Raw genomic sequence first — 25,030 nt, 5'->3', positions numbered from 1 at the left:
CCAGTAGTGCCTAGTTCTGGGATAGGCACACAGCACTCAGCTGAATAATTGACTAACAGGTGAAACTAACACTGCCATGAGAGATTGTGACAGACCCCTGAACCAGGAGGCAAATGACCAGGGCTCCAGGACTAGCTCCATTCAAGGTCACACAGCTAGGAAGAGGCTGCACCAAGCCCTTTCCCATCACCCCATGAGACCTCTTTTCATGGAGCTGGGACAGGAACCTCAAAGGCAGCTAGGAGGGAGGGGCCAGTCACCTCAGCTCCCACTCCTGCAGACTCTGAGCCTCTTCAGGCTTCCTAGTGCAGCCTGTGTTTCCCAATCTTCTGAGCTCTACTCGCAGTTTGATCTTAAACAAGAAAACTCCCCCTCACAATTCTTTAGACACAATAGGAAAAAAAAAAATGAGTTGGTTATACCAGTAAGGCTTGAGGTCAGACACCAGGAATAACTTCCTGAAGGTAGGACTCCCCACAGGAGCAGCAATCCAAGTGGACTCTGGAATCTTCTGCCCTGGAGAACTGGAGGCCCCATGGGAAATAGGGAAGTCACATCAGATCTGGGCAAGGGCTAGCTGAGTGACGTTTCCACCTGTATCCCTAAGATCAGAGCTCAGCATTGCAGGGGTGGGGTCAATCTACCTAATTTCCTGCCTACTAGCCTGGAGCTAATGGAACCTAGGAACGTTCCCAGCCCAGGGCTGACACTGCTGATGAGAGATGGGAGCTCAGGCCCACCATAGCCTCTTACTCCCCACATGGTAGAACCCAGCTGAGGCAGATAGACCCAGGCTCATCATCTGTCTTCACTCCAGAGAAACTGAGAAATAAATGCTGGCCCCTTGACTCAGAACCCAAGATGGGTAGGGGACTAGGCTAGAGGACAGAGCAGGAGCTGGGGAGGAGAGGGGGACATTGGGGTAGACACGTGTCTGCATCCCAAGGCAGAGGGAAGTGAGAAAGACACAGAACTCTCTTGGGAACTCTCAATATCACTTTAAAGAGTGTTCATAGTTACCTTGTTCTCTGCTTTAAAAGTCCTGAGGGTTTAATAACACTTTTAAGTGGCATCTTCTGTAGGGAAGTTCCCATTGGCTGCAGGCCCAGCCTGTGTCATTTCCATCCCAGCCCTTTTCCCACAGCCGAGCAGTGCATTCATACTGGCCCTGGAATCAAAGCTTGATCACACCGGAAGTTCCCCTTGATATGGATCCTCCATCCTTCCTGCTGCAGTACCCCACTCTCTTTCCTTTTACCCTGCCCCCAAATGGAAATGAAGTCCTCTTTGGTCCCTGAAATGAACAAAGCTTGGATTTAAAAATGGACCTGCTGCTCAGAAGGTAATCCTGGCACCCTGCCACCCATCATTCCCCTCCACTACCATCCCCAGCATGTTCCCTCCTGGGAACTGGCTGAGGCTTCGGGGATTAAAGGAAAGGCTCAGGACAAGTCAGGCTGAGTGGGTCTGAGGATCGCAGGAAGAAGGGAAAGAAGGAGGGAGGGGTGGAACTGGGTGGCCTTTGGGCTAAATCAGATAATAAACCTAAGCCACCTGCCGTTTGAGCCCATGGTATAAATCGTTAATCGGTTTGGGACTTGCATATCCGCTAATGAATTTCTCTATTCCCAAAAGGTTTCTCTGGAGCTGCTCCCAACCACTGCAGGGGGCTAAGCAGGGAGTTCCAGTTCCTCAGGCTGGGGATGGCACTCTGCATCCTCCAGGCCTGCTTCTGCTGTTCCCCCAGCCCCTTTCTGCACCTCCCAATCCACTTTCCTCCATGCAGCTTAAGGGGTCTGAGAGCTTAAAGGGGGAGGGTCTGAGAGCTTAAGGGGGGACCGGAAAGGAGGGGCTTAAGGGGGTCCCAGACAAGGATGCTCAACCTTTCTCAACTTTGGTTAATTCATCTATAAAAGGTGACAATCTCACCTGCCTCATGGGATTGAGGATTAAATAAAATCATGTGAGAGATGCACCTAGCATAACACCTGGCACATATTAGGTGCTCAATTCATTAACTTTATTCTCCTTTTCTGCCTCTAATATCATCCAGAGAGAGGGGACTAGCTACTCCTGGGTTCCAAGAAGGAATTCTCAAAAATGGCAGCTGAATAAAGTTGGTTGAGCAATGAAAAGCTTCCCACCTGGACCTGTGAACCCAGGAGGCTGTAGAATTCCCCACCCCAGGTTTGGCTTTTAATGTCAGCAGTTCCCACCACCATCTGCCTGGACTTCACAAAGGTCTGTGAGCCCCAGACATGGGGGCTGGATGGACCAGCCTCTCCCCTTCTACTTCATCTTGTGGCCTAAAGACAATGGGCATAGTCCTCTGAGCAACTCCTAGACACACAGTGGCTGCCTAGGAAAGGCCCTACGTCACCGCTATTGGAGGTAGAGCTTGTCCAGTGTCTAGACACAGATGGCCACAGCTGTCGGGGCCCTGGGCTATGGCTCTGCCAGCTGCTTTGCCCTTCCCCTTCGCTGCCTGCCATCTCTTGGTCCACTCAGACTCAGACAACCAACACAGAGCTGAGACCCTAGCATAACACATGCAGGGGGTGAGTAGAGATACTAAAGAAACTGTTAGCTCGAGTTCCAGAGAGCTTGCATTTCTGCAGGGGGTGGGGAGACCACTGGGGACTAACTGAAGGGCAGTGTGCAAACTAGGAAGGACACCAAAATGGGCAAACTGATGCCTCTTTATGAGACCTTGAGCCAGCCACTCCCTCTTTGTTAAGCCAGCCGGGTCTCTCTGCAGGTTTGTCTGAGGATGCTCTGAAAGAGAATGGGGGAGTTGGGTTCTCTACTTAGGTGTCAAGCTATGCAGTTTATGTGGCTAAAAATAGTCTTCAAACTTTTGGCTTAGAATGACTTCTCATGGTTTCTTTCTGCTCTGACACCCTAAGGTTCTATGAGCTCAGAGCCTTGCCAGGATATTCACCCTCTTTCTAACTTATATCCCAGGTATCTTCTGGATCTACTTACCCATAATCTCCAGAGAGGCTAGGAGAACTAATCTTTGCATCCTACCCAATGACATGGAAGAAACGGGCAGTGTGGACTGATCCTTTCTCCCTTCCTGGCCTCAGTGTCTCCATCTGTACAATGGGAAGAATTGAATTCAGTATTTTCCAAGCCCCCCATCCCACACCTCCAATGGTTGAGTTCTTCCTGCAGGCCAGAGGAGAGCCAGTCTCAAGGATTGACCTTAGTGGGTAGGGTTACAGTAGAAAAGATCTCCTGGGAGGTGGGATCAAGGATTGCAACCCCACTGCCTGGAGGAGTTATAGTTGTCCTTTGAATACTTGCTGTGTTATTGACTAGCTGTGTGACCTTAGGTAAATGCCTTGCCTTCTCTGAGCCCCCATCTCACCATCTTGCAATGGGAGGAGAGCTGGCAGGAACCCCATATTAGATGCTGTCTGTGTCTTTATAAAGCTGAATTGGGTAACTGGTTCTGAACTGGGGTGAGGTGAGCCCAGTTCTGCTCAATCCCAGCCTCCAGGGGCCTGGTCTTCCCTTCCCTGTGACTCTCCCCACAGGTGCCACAATCAGATGCTCATGTTCTCCAGGGTGTTGATGGATGCATCCCAGGACCACAGCAGTGCTCTCTGTAGTAGTGCAGCTCAGCCTAGCCCCACTCTGGCCAGAGGCCACACCAAGTCAAGGCCAGATGAGGGTCTATCTGGGCCTCTACCCCAGGGAAAAGGGGTCTGCTGGAGGAAAGGACTGATCACTGAATAGAGAAAGAGGTCAGAGGAGGAGTTTGTGGCTCCTCTGTGGCTAATACCCACAATCTTAGTCCACTGAGGCTGCTGTAACAGAATACCATAGACTGGGTGACTTCAATGACAGACATTTATTTCTCACAGTTCTAGAAGCTGAGAAGTACAAGATCATGGTGCTCACAGATTCGGTGTCTGGTGAGGGTTGTCTCATTGTGTGCTCCCACGGCAAAGAGCAGAGAGTAAAGAAGTAAGCTGTCTTGTATGTTTTATAAGGGCACTAATCCCACCATGAGGGCTCTACCCTTAGGACCTAATCACCTCCCAAAGGCCCACCTCCAAATACCATCACACTGGGGATTAGGGTTTCAACGTAGGAATTGGTGGTAGGGCGGCGGGGGTGGAGGGGCAGGCATTGACATTCAGTCCATAGCACCCACCTTCCTTCTACCTCTATTCACAGAGACCTCAAGAAAATCAGAGCTGAAAAGCAACATCCGGTACAATCCCCCATAGTACACATGAAGAAATTGAAGCCAGAGAGAGGAAAAGGAACTTACTCGGGCCTCCTGACATTCTCACAATAATAATAGATGATCTTCACAGGGGACTCCTTGTGGGTCAAGTCCTGACATCCATTAGCTTAGTGAGGCCACACAAAAGGACCATGAAATAGATTCTACTATCCCTATTTTACAGATGGGGAAGCCAGGGTTCAGAGGGAAACTGACTGGCTAGGGAAATTGATTGGCTCAGAGCCTGGTAGCCTGGAAGTGGCAAAATCTGGATTTGAAACTAGGATTGTCTACCACAACCTAAGTTTAGACTCCTATTACTACTCCAGTGACTCTTCTGGATTTGTTTCCATCTCTACCCATGCCAGGCCGGCAGAACTGCTGATGCACCAGGCACCGACAGAAGCCTGGCAGGACTTTGAGGCTCTCCCAGTTCAGGTCCCTGCCTTTAGGATGAAGGAAGGGGCAGTGCAAATAATATTTAATGATATGGAGAAATGCTTACAGCTCACTGATATGTGGGAAACTCAAGATACAAAACAGAATGGATAGAATAAGACATGCAAATGGCCACCAGGTACATACAATGGTGTTCAATGTCACTCATCATCAGGGGAATGCAAATCACAACCACAATGAGATATCACCCCACATCCATTAGAATGACTATTATAAAAAAAATAACCGAGAGATAACAAGTGTTGGCAAAGATGTGGAGAAAAGGGAACACTTACGTACATGGTTGGCGGGAATGTAAATTAGTACAGCCACTTTGAAAAACAGTATGGAAGCTACTAAAAAAATTACAAGTAGAACTACCATATAATCTAGAAAATCCAGCAATCCCACTTGTGGGTATATACTGAAAGGAAATGAAAGCAATACCTCAAAGAGAGATCTGCACCCCCACATTCACTGCATTATGTACAATAGCCAAGATATGAAATCAACCTAAGTGCCCATCAATGGATGAATGGATAAAGAAAATGTGATATATATATATAACACATTTATATATATACACATATATATAAATATATATATATAAATAAATATATATATATATATATCGCCTCCCAAGGGCCCACCTCCAAATACCATCACATTGATCACATTGGGGATTAGGGTTTCAGCATAGGAATTGGTGGTAGGGCGGCGGGGGTGGGGGGCAGGCACAGACACTCAGTCCATAGCACCCACCTTCCTTCTACCTCTATTCACAGAGACCTCAAGAAAATCAGAGCTGAAAGGCAACATCTGGTACCATCCCCCATAGTACATGTAAGAAACTGAAGCCAGAGAGAGGGGAAGGAACTTGCTCAGGCCTATATATATATTTATATATAATGGAATATTATTCAGCCTTTAAAAAGAAGAAAATCCTGTCATATGACACAACATGGATAAACGAGGAGGACACTATGGTAAGTGAAATAAGCTAGTCACAGGACAAATACTGCACAATTCCATGTATATGAGGTATCTAAAATAGTCAAACTCATAGAAGCAGAAAGTAGAATGAATGGTGGTTACCAGGGACTGGGGGGAGGGGGCAATGGGGAGTTACTGTTCAGTGGGTATAAAGTTTCAGTCATGCAAGATGGAAAAGTTCTAGAGATCTGCTGCACAACACAGTGCTCATAGTTAACAATACTGTACTGTACACTTAAAATTCTGTTCAGAGGATAGATCTCATGTTATGTGTGTGGTGTTTTTTTTTTCTTTTTTTTAGACGGAGTTTTGCTCTTGTCGCCCAGACTGGAGTGCAATGGCACAATCTTGGCTCACTGCAACCTCCGCCTCCCGGGTTCAAGCGATTGTCCTGCCTCGGCCTCCCAAGTAGCTGGGACTACAGGCGTGCACCACCACGCCTGGCTAATTTTTGTATTTTTAGTAGAGATGGGGTTTCACCATCTTGGCCAGGCTGGTCTCGAACTCCTGACCTCATGATCCACCCGCCTTGGCCTCCCAAAGTGCTGGGATTACAGGCCTGAGCCAACGTGCTCATGTTATGTGTTTTTATGTGATAAATTGTTTTAGCACAATTTAAAAAAAAAAAAAGATAGCCAGTGTGATCTCATGTATAAAAAGGAGAAGTGTGTGTGTGTATGTAGATACCAAAAAGTTAACAGTGATTTTCCCTGGTTAGTGGGATTATAGGTTTTATTTTCTTAGTAATACTCTTCTGTGGTTTTCAAATCTTCTATGGAGAGTGTGCATTACTTTTATCATTTCCCCTCTTCCCGGGCCAAAAAAAAAAAGAAAAAAGAAAAAAAAGAGAGAGAGAAAGAGAAAGAAAGAGAGAGAGAAAGAGAAAGAAAGAAAGAAAGAAAGAAAGAAAGAAAGAAAGAAAGAAAGAAAGAAAGAAAGAAAGAAAGGAAAAGAAAGAGAAAGAAAGGAAGGAAAGAAAGAAAGAAAGAAAGAAAGAAAGAAAGAAAGAAAGAAAGGAAAAGAAAGAGAAAGAAAGGAAAGAAAGAAAGAAAGAAAGAAAGAAAGAAAGAAAGAAAGAAAGAAAGAAAGAAAGAAAGAAAGAAAAGGAAAAGAAAAGAAAAGAAAAGAAAGGAAAAGAAACCACCAACCAAGAAAATCAGCAGATTTGGAGACAGGTACAGAGGCTCGATCATGGCCACACTTCCTCCTGGCTACATGATCCCTCAAGGCAGATGGAGAACAAAGGTGAAGGAACTGGCATCTTTATCCCCAGACAAAGCCACCAGGATGCAAGCAAGCACTGGATGGGGCCCTTAGACTCAAACAGAACAACTGAAGGGAGGATGTGGCTGGGACCTCTTTGTGGCCTCAGTTTATCAATCTGGAAAATAAGTGTCGTGACCAGGTCAGACCTCTATGCCATGGAGCTAGGGACGGGCGAGGCTCCTGGGCTGGGCAAAGCCTTCAAGCCCCAGGCAAGGCCTGCCCACTGGACCACGAGCAGCCTCCACCCTGAGGATAAGATCCTGTGGACTCTAGGAGAGTGAAAGGCAGGCCTGCAAAGTGAGGTAAGGAGGAGGAAGCACAGAACATGGAAAAACCTGCACAAGGCTACCCCCATTTCACTCCCCTACACTCACACACACCCACCAGCCAGGCAAAGCTTTGTTGTCTTTGTTACCACACTCCAGGTCCATGGTGCTCAGGGCAGCAGTTGCATAATCCCGATGGGGCCCCACTCCAGCAGTACGGCAAGACAATGGGGCTGTGGTATAGCTCTTAAGCCCTCCTCAGCTGGCCCACTCCTGGCAACCAACACCAGCCCTCGCCATCTTCCTTTACCCTGCTGACTGAGGTCTCAATTGCTAGGACAGGCAGCAGATCAGGGCAGCCCAGGGCAGGGGGCAAGCCTGTGCCCCACAGCAGCCAGACCCCAGGCCTGAGAGAAGTCCCAGGTTGTCTGGAGGCGGCACAGCCACGAGGGTACCCAAACCCTGCCCAACGACTCTCAAAAAAGCCTATAAGCTGCCTGGCAGGGACCCCAGCAGGCAATCCTGCAGATTCCCCTGCCTGCAGGCAAGCTATGCTCTCCTCCACCCCTTGGGGATCAGGGAGCCTCCTACTGCACAGAGCCAAGCAGGCCTTCTGTAGAGCTTCCCTAGATCGCCCCTCCCAGACACCCCTCTGTGTTGCCCTTAGGAACGGAGAATCTAACTTCTTAACCTTCTCTGCAGAAAAATATCCATACGGAGACAAAATTATCAGCCTGTGGGGTTCTGTAGATTTAGGGGTCCCATTTTCTCCTCCCTTTCCTTAGATGAATCCTAGAACATTTGAGCTGGAAGAGATTATTAAATCCACTCCCCCACCCACCCACCATCCTCCCCCAGAGACACCCACTGTACAGAAAGGCCTACTGAGGCCCCAGAAAGGGAAAGGCCCAACTCTAGGTTTGAAGCCAGCCAGGTAGCCCTCTGCCCCACTCTACCCTGAGGGTCCGTCTCCTTTCTAGCACTGTCTCAGCTTCCCTCTGAAGTAGCAAGGGGCTGGGACAGCAAAGTCCCAGGGGCTTCTCCTGGCTGGGGGAGTCAGGAACTTTGGGATATCCCCCCACCACACCTAACTCCCCCACACCATGGGACTCAGCCCAGGCCTGCCTCCCCCAGTCCTGCACTGTTCTCCTGCACCTTGGTAGGGAGCAGCAGAAGGAAAACTGTCTTAGTTGCTTTCTGCCTCTGGTTGATAGCAATATTCACACTCACTTGGGCTCTCATGCACACACTCTCTCTCTCTCCATTGCACAAGTGTCTCGCAGGCTCTCTCCCACTCTTACTATCTCTCTGTTTTTGTCTGCCTCTGTCACACATAATATCAGTGTGTGATATTCCTTTAGGTCTTTGTCTCACTCTCATCTGTTAGTCTCAATCTCTCTCTCTCTCTCTCTCTCTCTCTCTCTCACACACACACACACACACACACACAAATGCCAGCCTCTCCCAATGCTCTCATTCCCTTAGTCTTGGTATCCACTGCCTCTCTGCACCTCTCACACGGTTTCTGTTTTTCCACATCTTTTCCTCTCTTTCTCCTTCTTTCTTCCTCTCAGTTGCTGGGGCTTCCTCTTCTTGGTGTCTGGATCTTGCACCCTCTGTGAATTTCTCTCTCTCACTCTCTACCCCTCCTGTGACAGCTGAGAAAGATCATCACCCCACCCCTCCCTGGAGTGAGCAGGGGCATCTGGAAGAGGCTCAGGTGACGCTTTCATAGCACCAGACTCGTGTCAGGGAGCCAAGCTGAGTAGAGGCAGGGATGGGAGGGTGGACAAGGGGACTGGCGGCACCAGGCCTGGCTCTGCTTGGGAAATCCCCTTCCCCCATGCTAGGCCCCTCCTGAGTCAGGCCCTGGGAATAACCATCTCAATTAAACATCAGGGCTGCTGGGAGGAAGGTATGGTCCTGGTGCTCTGTTGGCCCTGTGGGCCTGGGAGTTGGTGTCATCTGTTTCCCACTATACAACTGGCCAAGTGCTCTGATTGATAGTGTCTGATTTGATCCTCACTAGAAACCTCAGGGGGAGGCAGAGCAGGAGACTCTTCTTCCTGCTTGAAAGACAAGGACCCTGAGCTCCAAGAAGTCAAAGGATTTGGCCCAGGACATATAGCCAGGCAATGACAGGTCCAGAAAAAGGGCAAAAACTGCTGAGCAAAGATCAACTGTTCTGGACCATCCTCACCCCAATTCTGCTCCTTGAGCCATGAGCACACTGGGCAGAGGAGCTGGCAGGGTGCTCTCTGATGTAAGGACTCAGTTAAGCACTTACTGAGGTCCTGCTTTGAGCAAAAACCTGGGAAATGCAAAGACAGACACTAATAAACTCTCATATCTGGCAAGAGCCTTACAGTTTGCAAAGTACTTCCTCATACATGGTTGCATTTGCCATATTCCTGATAACCAAGGTAAGTAACGATTAATCTCATGCCCACTGTCTGCTAGGGAGTTAGTGGCAAAGAGGAGATTAGAGTTTAGTCATCCAGCACCTAATCCACAGCTCTTCCTGCTGTGAACCCAGGTAATGAGGGCCCAAGCTGCCTAGGCCCTCTGTGACTAGAAAGGTTGATATTGGCCATGGGGCCAATGCCAGGGCCAGCTCAGGCTTCACTCACAGGGCAGAATCTCTGTTCCTTCCCAAGCAGGCAGAGCCCAGTGGGCAGGGTAGGAGGATGCTCTAAGTCCAGGATGTGGTTGGCTCTCTTTCCAGAACCCAGACACAAGGGATTGGTCATTGTATCCTACCCTTAAATTCTGAACCCAGCCGAAACTGGCCAAGTGCTGACAAAGGAGCTTTTGTGGGAGAGGTGCATGGGGCTTCTGACAGCAATGTCAGGGAGGAGAGGTCCTAAGGTGGCCCAAAGACGCTTGACCTTGCTTCCTAAACTCTGGTTTATTAAAGAAGACTCACCTGTTTATTGTTTATCTTTCTCCCCACTATAACTTCAGCTTCAAGGCCAGGCACAGTGGCTCATGCCTGTAATCCCAGAACTTTAGGAGGCCGAGGTAGGAGGACTGCTTAAGACTAAGAGTGCAATACCAGCCTGGGCAACATAGCAAGATCCTGTCTCTACCAAAAAATAAATAATAAACAAATTAAAAATTAGGCCGGGCGCAGTGTCTCATGCCTGTAATCCCAGCACTTTGGGAGGCTGAGGCCAGTGGATCTCTTGAGCCTGGGAATTCGAGACCAGCCTGGGCAACATGGCAAAAAACCCATCTCTACAAAAAACACAAAAATTAGCTAGGTGTGGTGGCATGCACCTGCAGTCCCTGCTACTCAGGAGGCTGAGGTGGAAGTATCAATTGAGCCCAAGAAGTAGAGGCTGCAGTGAGCCGTGATTATACCACTGCACTCCAGCCTGGACAACAAAGTAAGACCTGTCTCAAAAAAATAAAAATAAATAAAAATAATGAAAAGCATAAAATAAAATAAAATAAAATAAACCAGGTGTGGAGGTGCACACCTGTAGTCCCAGCTAATCAGGAGGCTAAGGCAGGAGGATCACTTGAGCCCAGAAGGTCAAGGCTGCAGTGAGCCATGATTGTTCCCACTGCACTCCAGCCTGAGCCACAAAGCAAGACCCTATCTCTTAAAAAAGAAACATAGAGATAAAAGAAAGTGCAGGAGGTGAGGGATTTTTGAGTTTTGCTCATTGCTGTATCCCCAGTTCCTACAACAGTGCCTGGCAAATAGAAGGTACACAATGAACAATTGTTGAATTGAACAAATATTGTTATATCAGGAGCCCCGTAAGGGAGGCAGAAGAGAGTTGTATAGCCTAAGATTTGCCCACCTCCTTCTCTTGGGAAGATCGGAAGAGGGCCTACCTCCCCCAGAGTTCAGACTCAGTGCCATTCCAGAGCACCTGGCACATACCCATGTAAGACCCCACCTTCTCCCAAGGGCCCTGCCAGGTCAGGGATAAGGAACAAGAGCACTTCCCACATGTTCCCACACAGCACAGCCAATAGCACATCTTGGTCCTAACTCATAGACTTGTAGGTTGTGTGGTGAGTGGAGTACTGAAGCCCATTCCCCAGCCGAGGAGACTGAGGCCTGCAGAGACTAAAGGAGCCAGATCAAGGTCATTCGGAGGGTTGGGGGTGGAGCTAGGTTTGGAGGTCAGGGCTCCGGCTCTCCTGCTGGGTTCTGTGAGGGATCAGGGAGGGGGAGGGAAGAAGAAGGCAGAAAGTAGGCCTTCGGGGTTGCCCATCCTAAGTGTCCATACCAGGCCTACCAGTCTGTGGCACACCTCACATCCTCTAACCACCATATTCCCCTTCTTACTTCTTCAAGAGCCGACAGTGGGGCCCAAGCAGCTGTGAATGGGGCCTTCGATCTCTGCTGGGCCCCAGCTTCGGCCCACTCTTGTCTCAGCCCTGCCCACAGCCCCAGCCACACGTCCCCACTTCTCCACTCCCCTCCTCAGATGGAAACTCTATCTCCACTCACACTTGCTCCCTTTATATCTCTCCCCTCAGTTTTATGGGGCGGCTGCGGCAAGAAAGAATTGGGGTGGGGGGGTTGCTGCAGCTCAGAGACTGTCCTTTATTAGTTCTCTCTTCCCCGGGAAATGAGGGGCTGCAGCTGGCCGGCAATATGGGTGGGGTGAGCTGGCCTCTGGCTGCTTGGAAGGCAGCACATCTGGGGGTGGGGGCCTGGAAGGGAAGCTGAGATGAATTACCTGTGTGTGCTGGGAGAATCAATTGGGCATGCGGGCACGCTGCCTGCCCCGCTGGAATTAGGGAGCAGGGCTGGGGGCTCCAGCTGGGGACGTGGGAGCAGGCAGAGTCCCCATCAAGGGGGAAGCTAGTGGCAGTGAGTTGGAGAGAAAGCCCAGCCTCCCTGAAAAAGAAGAAAGAGCTATTTTCTAACTCAGGGAAAAATCTCACTAAATGGAGCCTGCCTTTCTCCACCGCACAACCTTCTGCAATACCACCAGACCCACATATTACCCACCACCGCCCCACCCATCCCAAAGCCACTTACAGCTGGGCCCTGGAGTCTTTGTTCTTCTACACAGCTGGCATGGGTGCTCCATGACACATCCTAGCTCCTGGCCACCTGCCCCCCATTTTTCTTTCTCTCGACACCACCAACTCCCCCACACACACATACCCCCAAGGTCATCTTGTCAACTCTGCCACTTATTAGCTGTGTGTAGCCTCAGTTTTTCTCATTTGGAAAGTGGAGCAAATCATTTCAAAACAGAATATTTTGAGTTTTGGAAACCATTAACAGGTAACACCTGGCCCTCAGCTCTTGTTCATGGCTGGAAATCAGGTGGAATGAGAGAAGCCTGTTCTTTACAATGGAGTTCAAATGTGGGTTCTGCATCTTACTAGCTGAATGACCTTCAACAGGTCACTTCGTATCTCCCTGAGCCTCGAGTCCTCAGATAACTAGTTTCCTTGGTTTTCCATTCCTGTAAAATGGGAATAATAATACCTACCTTGCAAAGTGACTAAGAGACTCTACACAAAATGTGTTTGGAAGAGCGACTCATTTTGCAAGCTGTGAAACGTGCTGCCAGGAGGTAAGACCCTGTGGGGATGATCCCTTCCTCCCTGTCCTCCCATCCCAGGTCCTTGGAGGACCTCAACAGGAATGTGCCTCCTCAGCTCCTGAGGCGCCAGGAGAGCTAGGAGGTGGCAAAGGGTCAGACAGCCAGATGGGCTGCCGGGGGTCCGAAGGTGGCTGCCTGCTTAGCTGCTGGGGACAGTGGAGTTAGCCCCTCCTTCCCAAACCTCCCTGCACCCCCACCTCTGCTGCAGCCATTCGGGTCCCTTGCTCTCCAGGAGGCAGCCTCCTTTCTGACATCATCTGCAGCCAGTTCCCCTGAGGGCCATCCCCAATTTTCATTTCCTCTCACTAATCCTCACACACAGTCCCTTTGCACAGCCCGGAACAGCCTCTGTCCCGGAGCTGGCTTCACTTGCCAGATACTTGTTGCAGCTCACAAACCCAGGCTTCTCAGCCAGGAGGGCCTTCCAGAGTTCTCATCTCCAAGCCTTTTCCTCCAGGGTGCTGGTGGGGATGGGAGCAGCAGGGAAGGGAGCCAGGGCCCCTCCCACCCGTTCAGCACCTTTGTGCTAATTAGAAAAGAGTATCCTCTGTAGACAGATGTAGCCTGCACCAGTGTGCACAAAACTGATAAGTATAATGCAGGCTTGAGTTTCAGCTCCCACTCACACCCTTGGCCAGACACCCTCATGCAGTTCACAACCTGTAGCACTGTATGTGATGGCCCTGGGAGACAGCCTGAGCCTTCGAAAGCATGCTCAGAAAGCCTGGACTGGGCTCCTGTAGAGACCCTGCTGCAAGAAAAGCTAGGAAAGTTATACTAAGCCCTGGAACAGCTCAGTAGGTGGAAAAGCACCAATAGAAGGTGAACTGTGCTGTGGCAGTCTGCGTCCGAAGCAAAGAGGCAGATGGCGAGGGCCATACCTGTCTGGGATTCTGAGCGGGGGCTGGAGCAATGGAGTCAGAAATAAAGTTCACAATGAAAACCAAAGGCAGAAGACCTCTGGAGAACAGGAGTCCAGGGCTGATATTTGGGTTACATCAGTGTGGTCAGGACTGAGGATTGATCAAGGAATAGAAAGGTCAGCATTACAGGTCTAAGGAGAGGGCTGGCGGTCTTGTCTTAGGTCCGATCATTACTATGTGTGGAGGCCATGGGCAGTAGAGAATCGGGTCTGCGTGCAAGCCCAGACCATTTGCCCGGCCCAGCACTTCCTGTTCCTCTGCCTTTTTCCAGCCCCAGGATCTCAAGTTGTAAATAATCCTTAGAATACCAGCACACATTTGTTTAGCACCTTTTTTTTTTTTTTTTTTTTTTTTTTTTGAGATGGAGTGTCGTTCTGTTGCCAGGCTGGAGTGCAGTGGCATGATCTCGGCTCACTGCAAGCTCTGCCTCCCAGGTCCATGCCATTCTCCTGCCTCAGCCTCCCGAGTAGCTGGGACTACAGGTGCCCGCCACCACGCCAGGCTAATTTTTTTGTATTTTTAGTAGAGACGGGGTTTCACCGTGTTAACCAGGATGGTCTCGATCTCCTGACCTTGTGATCCGCCCGCCTCAGCCTCCCAAAGTGCTGGGATTACAGGTGTGAGCCACCGCACCCGGCCTTGTTTAGCACTTTCACATCCCAGTTCCCTTGCGCCTTGAAGGAAGCAAATCTCTAGCCCTCTCCATCTTTACCCTGGCAGAGCCCTATTTATCTTTTAAGCCTAGTTCAAATGTCACCTCCTCTGTGAAGCCTTTCCTGACCCCCTGCCCTGGCATCCTCTCTGCTCCCATGGCTTCTTGAATTCCAACTGTCACCACACAGATCACACTGCACTATATCTCTCGGTTGCTCTGTCACCCCCACCACACTAAGGGCCCCTGAGAGCAGAGACTATGTCTGGTTTGCCTCTGAGTCCCCAGGGCCTGGCACTGAGCCTGGAACTGGGAGGGTCTTAAGAAATGCATATTGGGTGGATGAATGAAGCAAAAGGGACACATGTTCACATACAGGTCACTCGTTCCTGGGGTCTGGGAGGCCAGTGAACTTGACAGTTGGGTCAGGGAGTAAAGGTCCATGACTAGTCTCATTGCTGGGCCCCAGGCCATGTCTGGGATAGGGATGAAGGCATGAGCAGCGGGGGCAGGGAGGTGGGATGGGTGCAGTGCCCTATGGAGGGCGATTTCTGCTCGTCCTGGGTCCTTACTGTTCCTCTCTCAGTCTGGTCTCAGGCTCTGGACAAGCTCCAGGAAGGCAAGGCAAAAAGTATACAAGTTACATCTGACCCATCTCTCTGGTGGGCACCATGCCAACATCCTGTCTTGCTTGGCATACCAGAGCAATCTGTGACCCCTCCTTCTCTGGCCATCCTGGGGGGCTCTGTCTTCCTAGAGAAGCCTGAGCTAAGGAGGCCCAAGCCCTGCTCTGAATCACCTGTCCCACTCCCCTCCCACTGAGCTAGGCTGGGGACAGCATGACCGAGCAAGGAGAACTGAAGTCAGGGAGCCTGGCTGCTTGGATTCGTGACTCAGCTTTGCCATCAACCTGTCGGGTAACTGTGGTTGAGTGTGTGATTCTGGCTGACCCTTGGACCATCCCCACTGGGGACTACCGGACTCTCTGAGGGATAGCAGCTCCTGCGAAGGCCAGAGGAGGGCCGGCGTGGGTGCAGAAGCATGGCCCTCACCACCCTGGGCGAGTGGCGTCCGGCGCCCGCCCGTCCGCCCGCCCGCCGACTGCCTGCCTGCCTGCCCGCCTGAGCCTGCACCCGCCTGGCCACAGGCTGAGGAAGCATAATCATGCTGGGCTATTTCAGACCCATTATCTCAGCTCAGCTCCTGCTTCCTGAGCAGGCCCCGAATTAGCCTGGCGCTTTGTTCTCAAGTGCATTTGTCAGATCGCTTGGCCTGTACCTCGGGGAGGAGGGAGAGGAGGGAAGGGAGGGCAGGGGCGGAGAGGGGGGCGGGTAGGGAGCGGGAGGAGGAACTCGACGCTAATTAAGACTCATTAAAAAAAAGAAGACGACAATGAGGAATAAGGAGAAGAAGAAAGAAAAACGAAGTGGAGGGGGGAGGGAAAGGCTTGCTGAGGAAGCAGAACAGCCGCCGGGAGAGACACATACAGAAACGCGCAGGCATACACACGCCCACAAAAAGACACGGAAACACACACAGCTCTCCCTCCCGGCAGCCTGCGCCAGCACTTCCCGCGCTCAGCCCTGCCCTGTGCCAGCCTGGCCGGGGCGACTTAGGCTTAGAACCCTGAGCCTTCCTTCCGGTTCCCCGGGCTGCCCTGTGCCAGCCTGGCCGGGGCGACTTGGGCTTAGAACCCTGAGCCTTCCTTCCGGTTCCCCGGGCTGCCGGGCTAAGGACGAAGCACAGCCAGGATTCAAATCCTGCCCCGGCTCTTCAGTAGCTCTGCAGCCTCTCGGTTTCCACGTTTGTCAAAGGAGAATCCCTAGGTCCACTGAGCAAGGCTGGCAGGAAGGCGTCCGGACATAGAGAGGCTCATCTGTTCGGGAGTGTCTCGGCCCAGCAGCAAGCCTCCAGCTGGCGGTGCCCTCTCCGGGTCAGGCCTGGCTGCGCTTCTGCCTCTGAGCCCTTCTCAGAGCCAGGGGTGGTGCTGTACCAGGGCTCAGGCCCTGCTGGGCTCCCTCCCCTCCCACCACTGTTGGCCTGTGCCCCGCCACCACCAGCCCAGGAAGCTTTAATGGACTATTGCTTGGGCAACAGACAAAGCTGCCCAGGGCAGGGAGGCCTCTGCATCTCCACAAAGGTCCCAAGTATCCCTAATGAACTAACTCTAGCTCTCTTTCTCTCTCAGAATTCTTGGTTTCTTAGTAACTCACATATCCCAAGGCAGGAGCTCAGCTCAGTGCCAAGCTTGCCTTTCACACCACTTCAGCCAGGCCCTGGGTGGATAAGAAGACCTCGGTTTGGAATGTCCACTCCAGCCCTCACTTGCTGTGTCTCGGCCTTCCCATCTGCGAGATGAAGGAACCTCCACTCTCCCTGCCTGCCCCAAGCATGACAGCACTTCATGCCCCCCAGAGAGAGAGGGACTTTGCCAGCTTCTGACAGGTCTTTCAGAGATCAAAGTTCAATTATGTCTTTCTTGCTTGGGTTCAGAGGCATGAGGTCAGAGCCTTTCAAAAGCTCTCTCATCTCAAAGCATTCATAAACTCATCTTGGTGGCAAGAACACCCATCTAGGAGTCAGGCAGTCCTTGATTCAAATATCTGCTTTGCAAATCACTGGCCATAAGACCCTGAGCAAGCCAACTCTCCTTTTGCAACTTTAGTTTCCTCTTCTATAAAATGGGGTTAATGACCATAGCTACTTCATAGAGTGCCTGGTGCACAGTAGATGCTCAATACGTTGGGCTGTTATTATTACTCCTCCCACCTCCTTTTCCCCATGTCATCCCCACTCTATCTGGCCCAGCTTGGAACCACATCCCTCAGAGCAGCCCAGGTGTCCTCAGGCCTGCAGGGCAGAAGGGGTAGAGGGAGGCCCCTCTCAGAGAGAGCTGGGACAGGACAGCAGGGGTCCATGTCGTCCCAGGATTCTTCCTTACACTCTCTGGTGGAGACTGGGGACAGGATCACAGGAGCTCAAAGTGGGTCACAAGGGCTCAGACCAGCCCAAGCACTGAGATCAGAAACTGGGGCTTCGGCACAGGGAGTAGTCAGGTCTAGGAGCAGAAAGGGCATGAGCCAGGGTTGGTAGGCCTGGCTGCCAGTCCCAGATTTGCCGAGGACTCTGCATGCCCTCAGCTGAGTCCCTGCCCCCATATGGGTGTCAGCCAGTATCCCCTCCCCCAGAGATGAGGCTGCAAGTGTTCCTGGCTGCCAGAGAGGAGGTCGCTGCTGAGCCCCTACCTCACTCAGTGAGGTCAGCTGGCAGGCCTCCTCCCGCTGCCCTCCCCCATGCTTCTCCACTCCCCACTTTGGCAGGACCATTTCTTGCAGCCTCTTCTGCAGCGCGCCCTCTGAGCCTTTCCACCCCACATTCCTGTGCAAGCCTTCAAGCAGTCCCAGACTGAGCTGGGGCTCGATGGGATGCTCTGTGAGCTGAGTTCCCATTGTCCGCAAATCGGGACCAGCTGTGAGCAGCCTGACAGCCCAGTGCTCGTGGCCGCCCCCACTCCCGCTGCAGTTACAGAAGACGGGAGAAGAGTGAGCCCACCGCCTGCCCGCCTGCCCGGGGCTCCCCCCTCAACGCAGCATGATCAGCTCCCTAGCCAGGAACAATCAAGCATTATGAATAAAGATGTGCAGCTGGACAGAGAATTCCTCCACACCCACCTGGCCCACCCAGCAGCTTGCAGCCTTCCTCCCCCGATCAGGCTCTTTCCACCTCAGGGGCACCCCACCCTAGTTGGTACATAGGCATGCAGAGGCCAGTTTCTAGGGGGCACAGGATTGCCCTAGCCTGGCCCTGCCCTCCATAGAGCATCCTAGTCCTCTGGAAAACTGTTGCCTGACTCCATCACACCATAATTGAGGTGGGCTTCCGTACAAGGCATGCTGTTACCTCGGCCCCCAGGGTTGGTGGGGAAGGAGGAAACCAGCCCCTGGGGAGGCTGGAGCCAGGACTTGATTCCAGGGCAGGAAGCTTGGTCAGCCTCAGTGTGGGGCAGGTTCAGTGACAAGAGGCCACAGAGTGGGTGACTATCTGTTGGCAGCAGAGCCATAGGATTCTAAATACTCTGAGCATTGACAACAGTGTTCTAGCCAGGGCCTGGCATGCAGGGAGTAGCATCCAGACCCAGGAAGGGAGCTGGCAAGTCTTTGGGTGGGGCCTTTGGATAGAGTATCTACCCTGTGGGGAAGAGACGTCCTCTGATGGGCAACAAATCAGACATTTTGGACACATGTATGGCTGGGGGTAGCAAGGAAATCACAATGGACACAAGTTTGGCCCGGGAGTCTCTCCCAGCCCTGGGTGCTACAGCCTATAGAATGTGAGAAATTCCAAATACCCTTCCCATCACACCTCCTCCTCCCCTTACCCTGCCCCTATGTCCTGCCTGGATCCCCAGCTCTACTCACACCCCTATCTCAAAATCTGAAGAGGCCGAGACGGCAGTCCAGGTCAGCATGAGCTTCAGACCTAAGGGCTGGGCCTCTAGGCCAATGGGTCTCAATCCTGGCTGCCCGGTGGAATCACCTAGGGAGCTTTGAAAAAGTCCCCAAGGACCAGGCTGGACACCAGACCAATTGACTCAGGATCTCTGGGGGTGGGATCCAACCATCAATAATTTTTGAAGCTCCCCAAGTGAGTCTAATGTGCATACCAAGTGGAGACCACTGCTCATGGTTGGCATCCTGCAGAGTGTTTGAGAACATGAGCTCTGAAAGTAGTGAGGTCTGCGTTAGAGTCTAAGCTGTGCCACCTAGTTGTGTTGCACTGGCAGATTACCTAACCTCTCCAAACCCGTCTCCTTATCTGTCAAATCCAACCCCTGTATATGACTGTCATGAGGATTTGATGAGAAAATACATGTGAAGATTTTAGCATGACACACAGTAAGTGCTCAACAAATGCTGCTAGTACTATTATCAGCCAGAGAGGCTGACACACAGGTTGAAAGACATCTCTCTTCATCCAGAAGCTTGGAAACTTAAGTTACAGGTTGGCAATGTCAATGACTTCCCAGAAGAGTCAGGTAATTTCATTGACAGTGGGGGCATAAAAGTATGCAGGCTGAGAGAGACATTAGAAACCATCAGGTGCCATCCACATGTGACTCAAAATGGAAACTGAGGGACAGAAAGGGAGAGAGGCTGGAAACCTGGTCCCCCAAATCCCAGGCTCATGCATGTGGTCAGATCAACACGTTTATAAAACACCTACTATGTGCCTGGTAGGGTGTTGGCATGGAAGGGGCAGAGTGGTGAATATGGCAGGGTCCCTGCTCTAGGAGGGCTCAGAGTCAGGCATGTAGATCTGTTACTCACAAAGGAGAGGTAATGATCATTCCACCTGGACGGAAAGTTGATATCCACTTGGAGAGCACCAGAGGCTCCAACAGGCTGAGGTGGGTCAGGGAGAAGGTATTCCAAGCAAAGGAGGAGACATGGGTAAAGACATTGGAGGTTTTGGAGGAGTTACCTTTCTTTCTTTTTCTTTTTTTTTTTTTTGAGATGGAGTCTCATCTGTTGCCCAGGCTGGAGTGCAGTGGCACAATCTTGGCTCACTGCAAGCTCCGCCTCCCAGGTTCACACCATTCTCCCGCCTCAGCCTCCCGAGTAGCTGGGACTACAGGCGTCCACCACCACGCCTGGCTAATTTTTTCTATTTTTAGTAGAGATGGGGTTTCACCGTGTTAGCCAGGATGGTCTCGATCTCCTGACCTCGTGATCCACCCGCCTCAGCCTCCCAAAGTGCTGGGATTACAGGCATTAGCCACCACGCCCGGCCGAGGAGTTACCTTTCTAATCTTTATGGAGTACCCTGGCTTTTCTATAGAGGATGGAGGGAAGGGTCAAAGGAGGGAGGCCTGCTGGAAGCTATTGCAATAACTCAGGGGGAAATTGATGGGGACCTGACTCTCAATCATCTGTTCTTTCCTCAATCCCCACCTTTCACCACTGATAACCTCACCTCATTAAGAAAACAGGTGCCATCAGGCAGGAACTTCCCTTTATGCCCACAAATTTTACAGTCCTACTGCCTGTCATCTGCCGCATTGTCCCTTCTTGCCTTCTGTGACCATGGAGGATGACACCTTTCTCTTTTCTCAGACCAGTCCTTCACACTGTACTCTAGAGCCCGCTCCTCTCACCTTCCCAAGGCTTTTTTCAGGTAGCTCCTCTTCCTCTGTGTTGAATCATTCCCTTTAAGAAAGACACTAGTTCAGTATCTTCCTTCTGGACAAGACGAGGCAGGGAAAAGAAGGGAAAAAATAGAACAAGGAAAGGGAAGGAAAAGGAAGGGAAGAAAAAGGAAAGGAAAGGAAAATGAGTCTTTCCTTTGACGAGTTTCTTCCTCCAGATGTGGCCCCATTTCTCTGCATTCCTTCATGGGGAAACTTCTCAAAAGAGCCATCTAAACTCCATTTCCTCTTCCTCCCCTCTCATTCATCCATCAACCAATGCTTTCTAACTTCTACCCTCACCTCTCCACTAAAATTACCCTTGTGAAGATTGCCAACAACTACCAGAAAGCCAAATCCAGTGGACACTTCTAGGAGCTGAAATTATGAGAGGTGGGCCAGTGGAGTGGCTAAGAGCAGGGCTTCTGGAGCCAGCCTGCCTGGGTTTGAACCCCAGTTGTACCACTAACCAACTGCATGACCTTGAGAAAGATACTTAACCTCTCTGAGACCGAACTTTCTAATCTGTAAAGTAGAGATGATACTAACAGCACCTACCTTGTAGGATTGGGATGAGGATTAAATGAGTTAATAGATGCTATGCCCATCAGCACAGTGCTTGGCGCACAGCAGGTGCTCCAAATCAGCCAGCTCCATCAGTGGCTTCTGTCTGACTTGACATCTCAGCAGACTTCCGCAGTGCTGACCAACTTCCTCCTTCTGTAAAAAGTCTCTTCTCTCAACCCCGTGACAACACACTCTTCTAGTGTGCCTCCTACCTATCTCACTGGCCCCTCCACTCATCCCTCCTCTGCCCAACCTCTATATACTGGAATTCCTCAGAGACCCATCCTGGGCTCTCTCTTTTCCTCTCTGCACTCTTTTCCTAGGTGAGCTCAGCCACTCCCATGACTTCAAATGCCATTGAAGTGTTTGCAACTCCAAAATGTCCATGTCCATCCCAAGCTTCTCTGATCTCCAACCTCATTTAACCAGCTACCTCCTTGATATCTTCACTTGAATGCTTCAAGAACCATCCAAACTTAACAAATCCAAAGAGAAAGTATTGATTCACCCTGAAGCCGGCTCCTCCCGCAGTTTTCCTTTCTTAGTAAATGCCACTATTTACCAGTTGCCCAAGCCCAAACCCCAGGAGTCATCCTTGATTGTTTCCTTCCTTCACTCCCCATGTTCAATCGATCAGCCCGCTCTGTTCTGTCTCCAGTGTATCTTGTCCATCCCCATCTTCACCTGCACTGCCGCCATCATTTCTCTCACAGCCAACTGCACAGGCCTCCTCACCACTCTCCCTGCTTCCTTTCTTACCCTGCTAGTCTTGTCTCCTCACAATCATCAGAGTAATTTTTTATCAAAATGCATATTAGACTATTGTCCCTAACTTAAAACCTTGCGGTGGGTTTTAACTGTGCTTAGACTAAAATGCAAGTTTCTTACACTGGCTTACAATGTTCCCCAGGATGTGTGGTCCCTGCCTCCCTCTCTGACCACATCTTGTCCCACTGCCCCCCTCGTTCTCTTCACTCCAGCCACACTGGCATCTTTTCTGGTCCTTAGCCCACTTGAGCTCTTTCTGGCTTCAGGGTCTTTGCAGTTGTTGTTCCCTCTGCTGAAAAGTTCTCTCCTCAGCTCTTCACACTACTGGCTCTTTGTCAACCTTCAGGTCTTAGCTTAAGTATTGTATCCTAACAAAAGCCTTTCCTGAAAGTCATATATAAAATTGGTACACCCATCATCCTCTATCAGGATGATCTATTTATTCCCTTTGTGTCTCTTTATGTATTTATTTGTTTCTTTTTTGTCTATTTCCCTCACTAGAATGTGTCATGAGGGAGATACCTTTACTGTCTTGTTCACCATGGTTGCTCCAGAGTCTGGCCCAGTGACTGTTACAAAGAATTCAATAACTGTTGAATGAATGAATGAATAAATGAATCAAAGAAAGTGGGACTGGAGAGAAGGGAACAAATTGGGGAGATATTGAGAAAATAGACATGTTGAGACTTGGTGATGGAGTAGATGTAGGGGAAGAGGGGAAGGAAAAGAGCAGTGATGACTCCCAATTTCCTGGCCTTATTAGCTAGTGGAACCACTTATGAAACTAAACAGTATGGGAAGGGACCAGTTTGGGGGGAAAGATGATGAGTTCAGCTTGATGCATTGAATTCAAAGTCCCTGTATGACATAAAATGGACATGTCCCTGGGACCTGGGTCTGGAACTGAAGAATGATCATAGCTAACAATAAAGAATGGGACATCATGACAATGACTGAAAGCTGGAGAGTGGACATTACTGTCTATTACTCTGAAGAAAGCAGTAATGAGGGGATAATTGAAGGAGTGTAGAGGGAGAAGACGTCAAAAGACAGAAGCTAGAGCCAAACCGACACTTGTATGGCAAGAGAGGAGAGTAAAGAGCCACAAGGTGCGGTGAGATAGGCAAGAGAAGGAAGAGGACACTCAGTGACTCCGAAGCCAAGGAAGGAGAGAATGGCAAGCAGGAAGGGAGAGTTGGCAGGGTCAGATGTGAGGATGGGAAAAAGCCACTTATGCTGGTGACAAAGAAGTCATCAGTGACCTTTAAGAGAGCAATTTCAGGCAAGAGGGGGAGAGGACATATTGCAGTCGACTGAGGAGAGAGTGGGAGGTGAGGAAGCAGAGACAGTGAGAGCAGACAACCCTTTTCCAAGCAGTTTGACTGAAAATGGAATGGAAGAGAGAAGGCAAATAGCTTAAGAGGGAGGCAGGGTTAAGGGAGGGTTTCTTTGAAGGATGGGGGAGAGCTGAAAATCCTTGTAGGCTGAGGAGGAAATAGCACTGAAAGGAGGGGCAGAGATGGAGATACAAGAGAAAGGGGATAATTGATGGAGTTAGAGGTTAGTTATGGAGAGGAGGATAGATAAGTCTTCCTAGGAGACAAAAGGGAGAGGGGGAGAAGGAGGGAGACAGAGAGGGAGGGAAAGAAGGAGGGAGGAAGGAAGAGAGCACACATACAGAGAGATTCCAAGATGGACAGCCTTAATCTTAGCAAAATTGGAAGCCAAGCATTAGGAGAGCGTAGTTGTGGGGCTGGAATGTAAGAAAAGTAGAAGATGGGAATGCCAGCCCCCATGGGATGAGTTCAAGGATTGTGGAACATTGGCAAGGACCTCACACTGAGGCTGGCAAGCTTATAATTGCCAGGAGCTAACTGGCCAAGCCTGGGACAACAGAAGGCAGGACCAGCAGAAGGTGTGCAAAGCTTGAATGACTTCGAGTCATGAAGGTCACAATTGGTGGCAGGGTTAAGAATATATGAAGCAGGGAGGTGGGGAAGGCCTAGAGATAGCTAGGGGCTGGGAAAATGAGGTTGTGGGTGGGGAAGAAGGACTGGAATGCTTGAGGGTGGGAAGACCATTCTTTTTTAAACAAGCCGTTGCTTAATAGCCCAGTGCCAAGGACCGGGACCAAGACCAGGTTTGAGAAGAATGAGGGAGCCAGTCATCTGAAGGCTGGGGGTAGGGGGACTGGGGATTGGAAATCATGGTGCTGGAGCCATCCCAAGTAATGACAAGGCCCAAGATGCGCTCAAGCCAGTGGGCAGCTCCAGTAGAGAGGATATGTAGGTCATGGAGGTTGTAGGATGACTGGGTATCAGTCTCAGGGGACATGTATGAGGGTGCCGAAGCGAGTGAGGAAGACAATGGGGTGGAGGGAAAGGCCTGAGGGCCTGGGGCTATGGCAACTGGAGAAGGCCAGCCAATATTCTGGAGGGCAGTGGAGCTGAGAAAGGAGAAGGAGGCTTCGAGTCATTAGCATGACTTTCTGTGAAAGAGGGGGCATTGGACATAGGACAGAAGCCAAGCTGGACAAAGGCAAAAAGCAGGGCATCCATTGAAGAAAGTTGTTAAAAGTGGACTCGACGTTCTGTTTGTAATCTGGAGTTAAAGGGAGGATAGTTTTGGTGAAAAGATAGAAGTTTGTGGCTTTGTTTCTGATAGAATAGCCAGGGCACTCACAGGGTAAGACCAGACCTGGGAGAGAAGGACAGGGCATGTGGCAGTTCCTGAGAGCCCTCTGTGCTTGGAGCAGTCACTGCAGGTGTCTGGACCAGGAGTGAGGGAAGGAGGCCATCAGGGAGGTAAGGTTGATCTATGGGAGCATGGCCACAGCAACTGGTTCATTCCCTTCCCATCAGAGCCAGATACAGGAGAGACACAAGAGAGTAGGGCTTCCTGGATCCCCATATCTGACCAGCATAAAGCATAGTTGGCCTTCCACCACCTTTGCCTGGAGATTTCTCAGCTCTACCAGCCACTCCATTTCTGCCAAGAAATTGGCCCTAATATCTCCCAAACGGAATTGAGGTTGGGGTTTTGGTGGCATTTACAGAGTACCAGATTGGCATAGGACTGTGTAAGCAGGTCTGTGTATGTTCTGTCTGGTTGCTTTGCCTCTCTGAACTGCTTCAGTTTCCTCACCTGA

At 50.6% G+C, this 25,030-nt stretch overlaps 3 annotated features.

Moving 5' to 3' along the window:
* Window positions 6,910–7,409: an enhancer, noted in NCBI's record as "H3K4me1 hESC enhancer chrX:68123133-68123632 (GRCh37/hg19 assembly coordinates)". NCBI's record gives its function as "activates a minimal SCP1, AML or CMV promoter by ChIP-STARR-seq in naive H9 embryonic stem cells {active_cell/tissue: H9 hESC(naive)}" and the evidence as "EXISTENCE:reporter gene assay evidence [ECO:0000049][PMID:30033119]".
* Window positions 14,876–15,387: an enhancer, noted in NCBI's record as "H3K4me1 hESC enhancer chrX:68115155-68115666 (GRCh37/hg19 assembly coordinates)". NCBI's record gives its function as "activates a minimal SCP1, AML or CMV promoter by ChIP-STARR-seq in primed H9 embryonic stem cells {active_cell/tissue: H9 hESC(primed)}" and the evidence as "EXISTENCE:reporter gene assay evidence [ECO:0000049][PMID:30033119]".
* Window positions 15,388–15,901: an enhancer, noted in NCBI's record as "H3K4me1 hESC enhancer chrX:68114641-68115154 (GRCh37/hg19 assembly coordinates)". NCBI's record gives its function as "activates a minimal SCP1, AML or CMV promoter by ChIP-STARR-seq in naive H9 embryonic stem cells {active_cell/tissue: H9 hESC(naive)}" and the evidence as "EXISTENCE:reporter gene assay evidence [ECO:0000049][PMID:30033119]".

The sequence above is a fragment of the Homo sapiens genome, chromosome X (genome assembly GCF_000001405.40).
Source record: "Homo sapiens chromosome X, GRCh38.p14 Primary Assembly".
NCBI lineage: Eukaryota > Metazoa > Chordata > Mammalia > Primates > Hominidae > Homo > Homo sapiens.
Note: the sequence above shows the minus strand (reverse complement) of the source record. Positions and strands in the feature narration are given on the sequence as shown.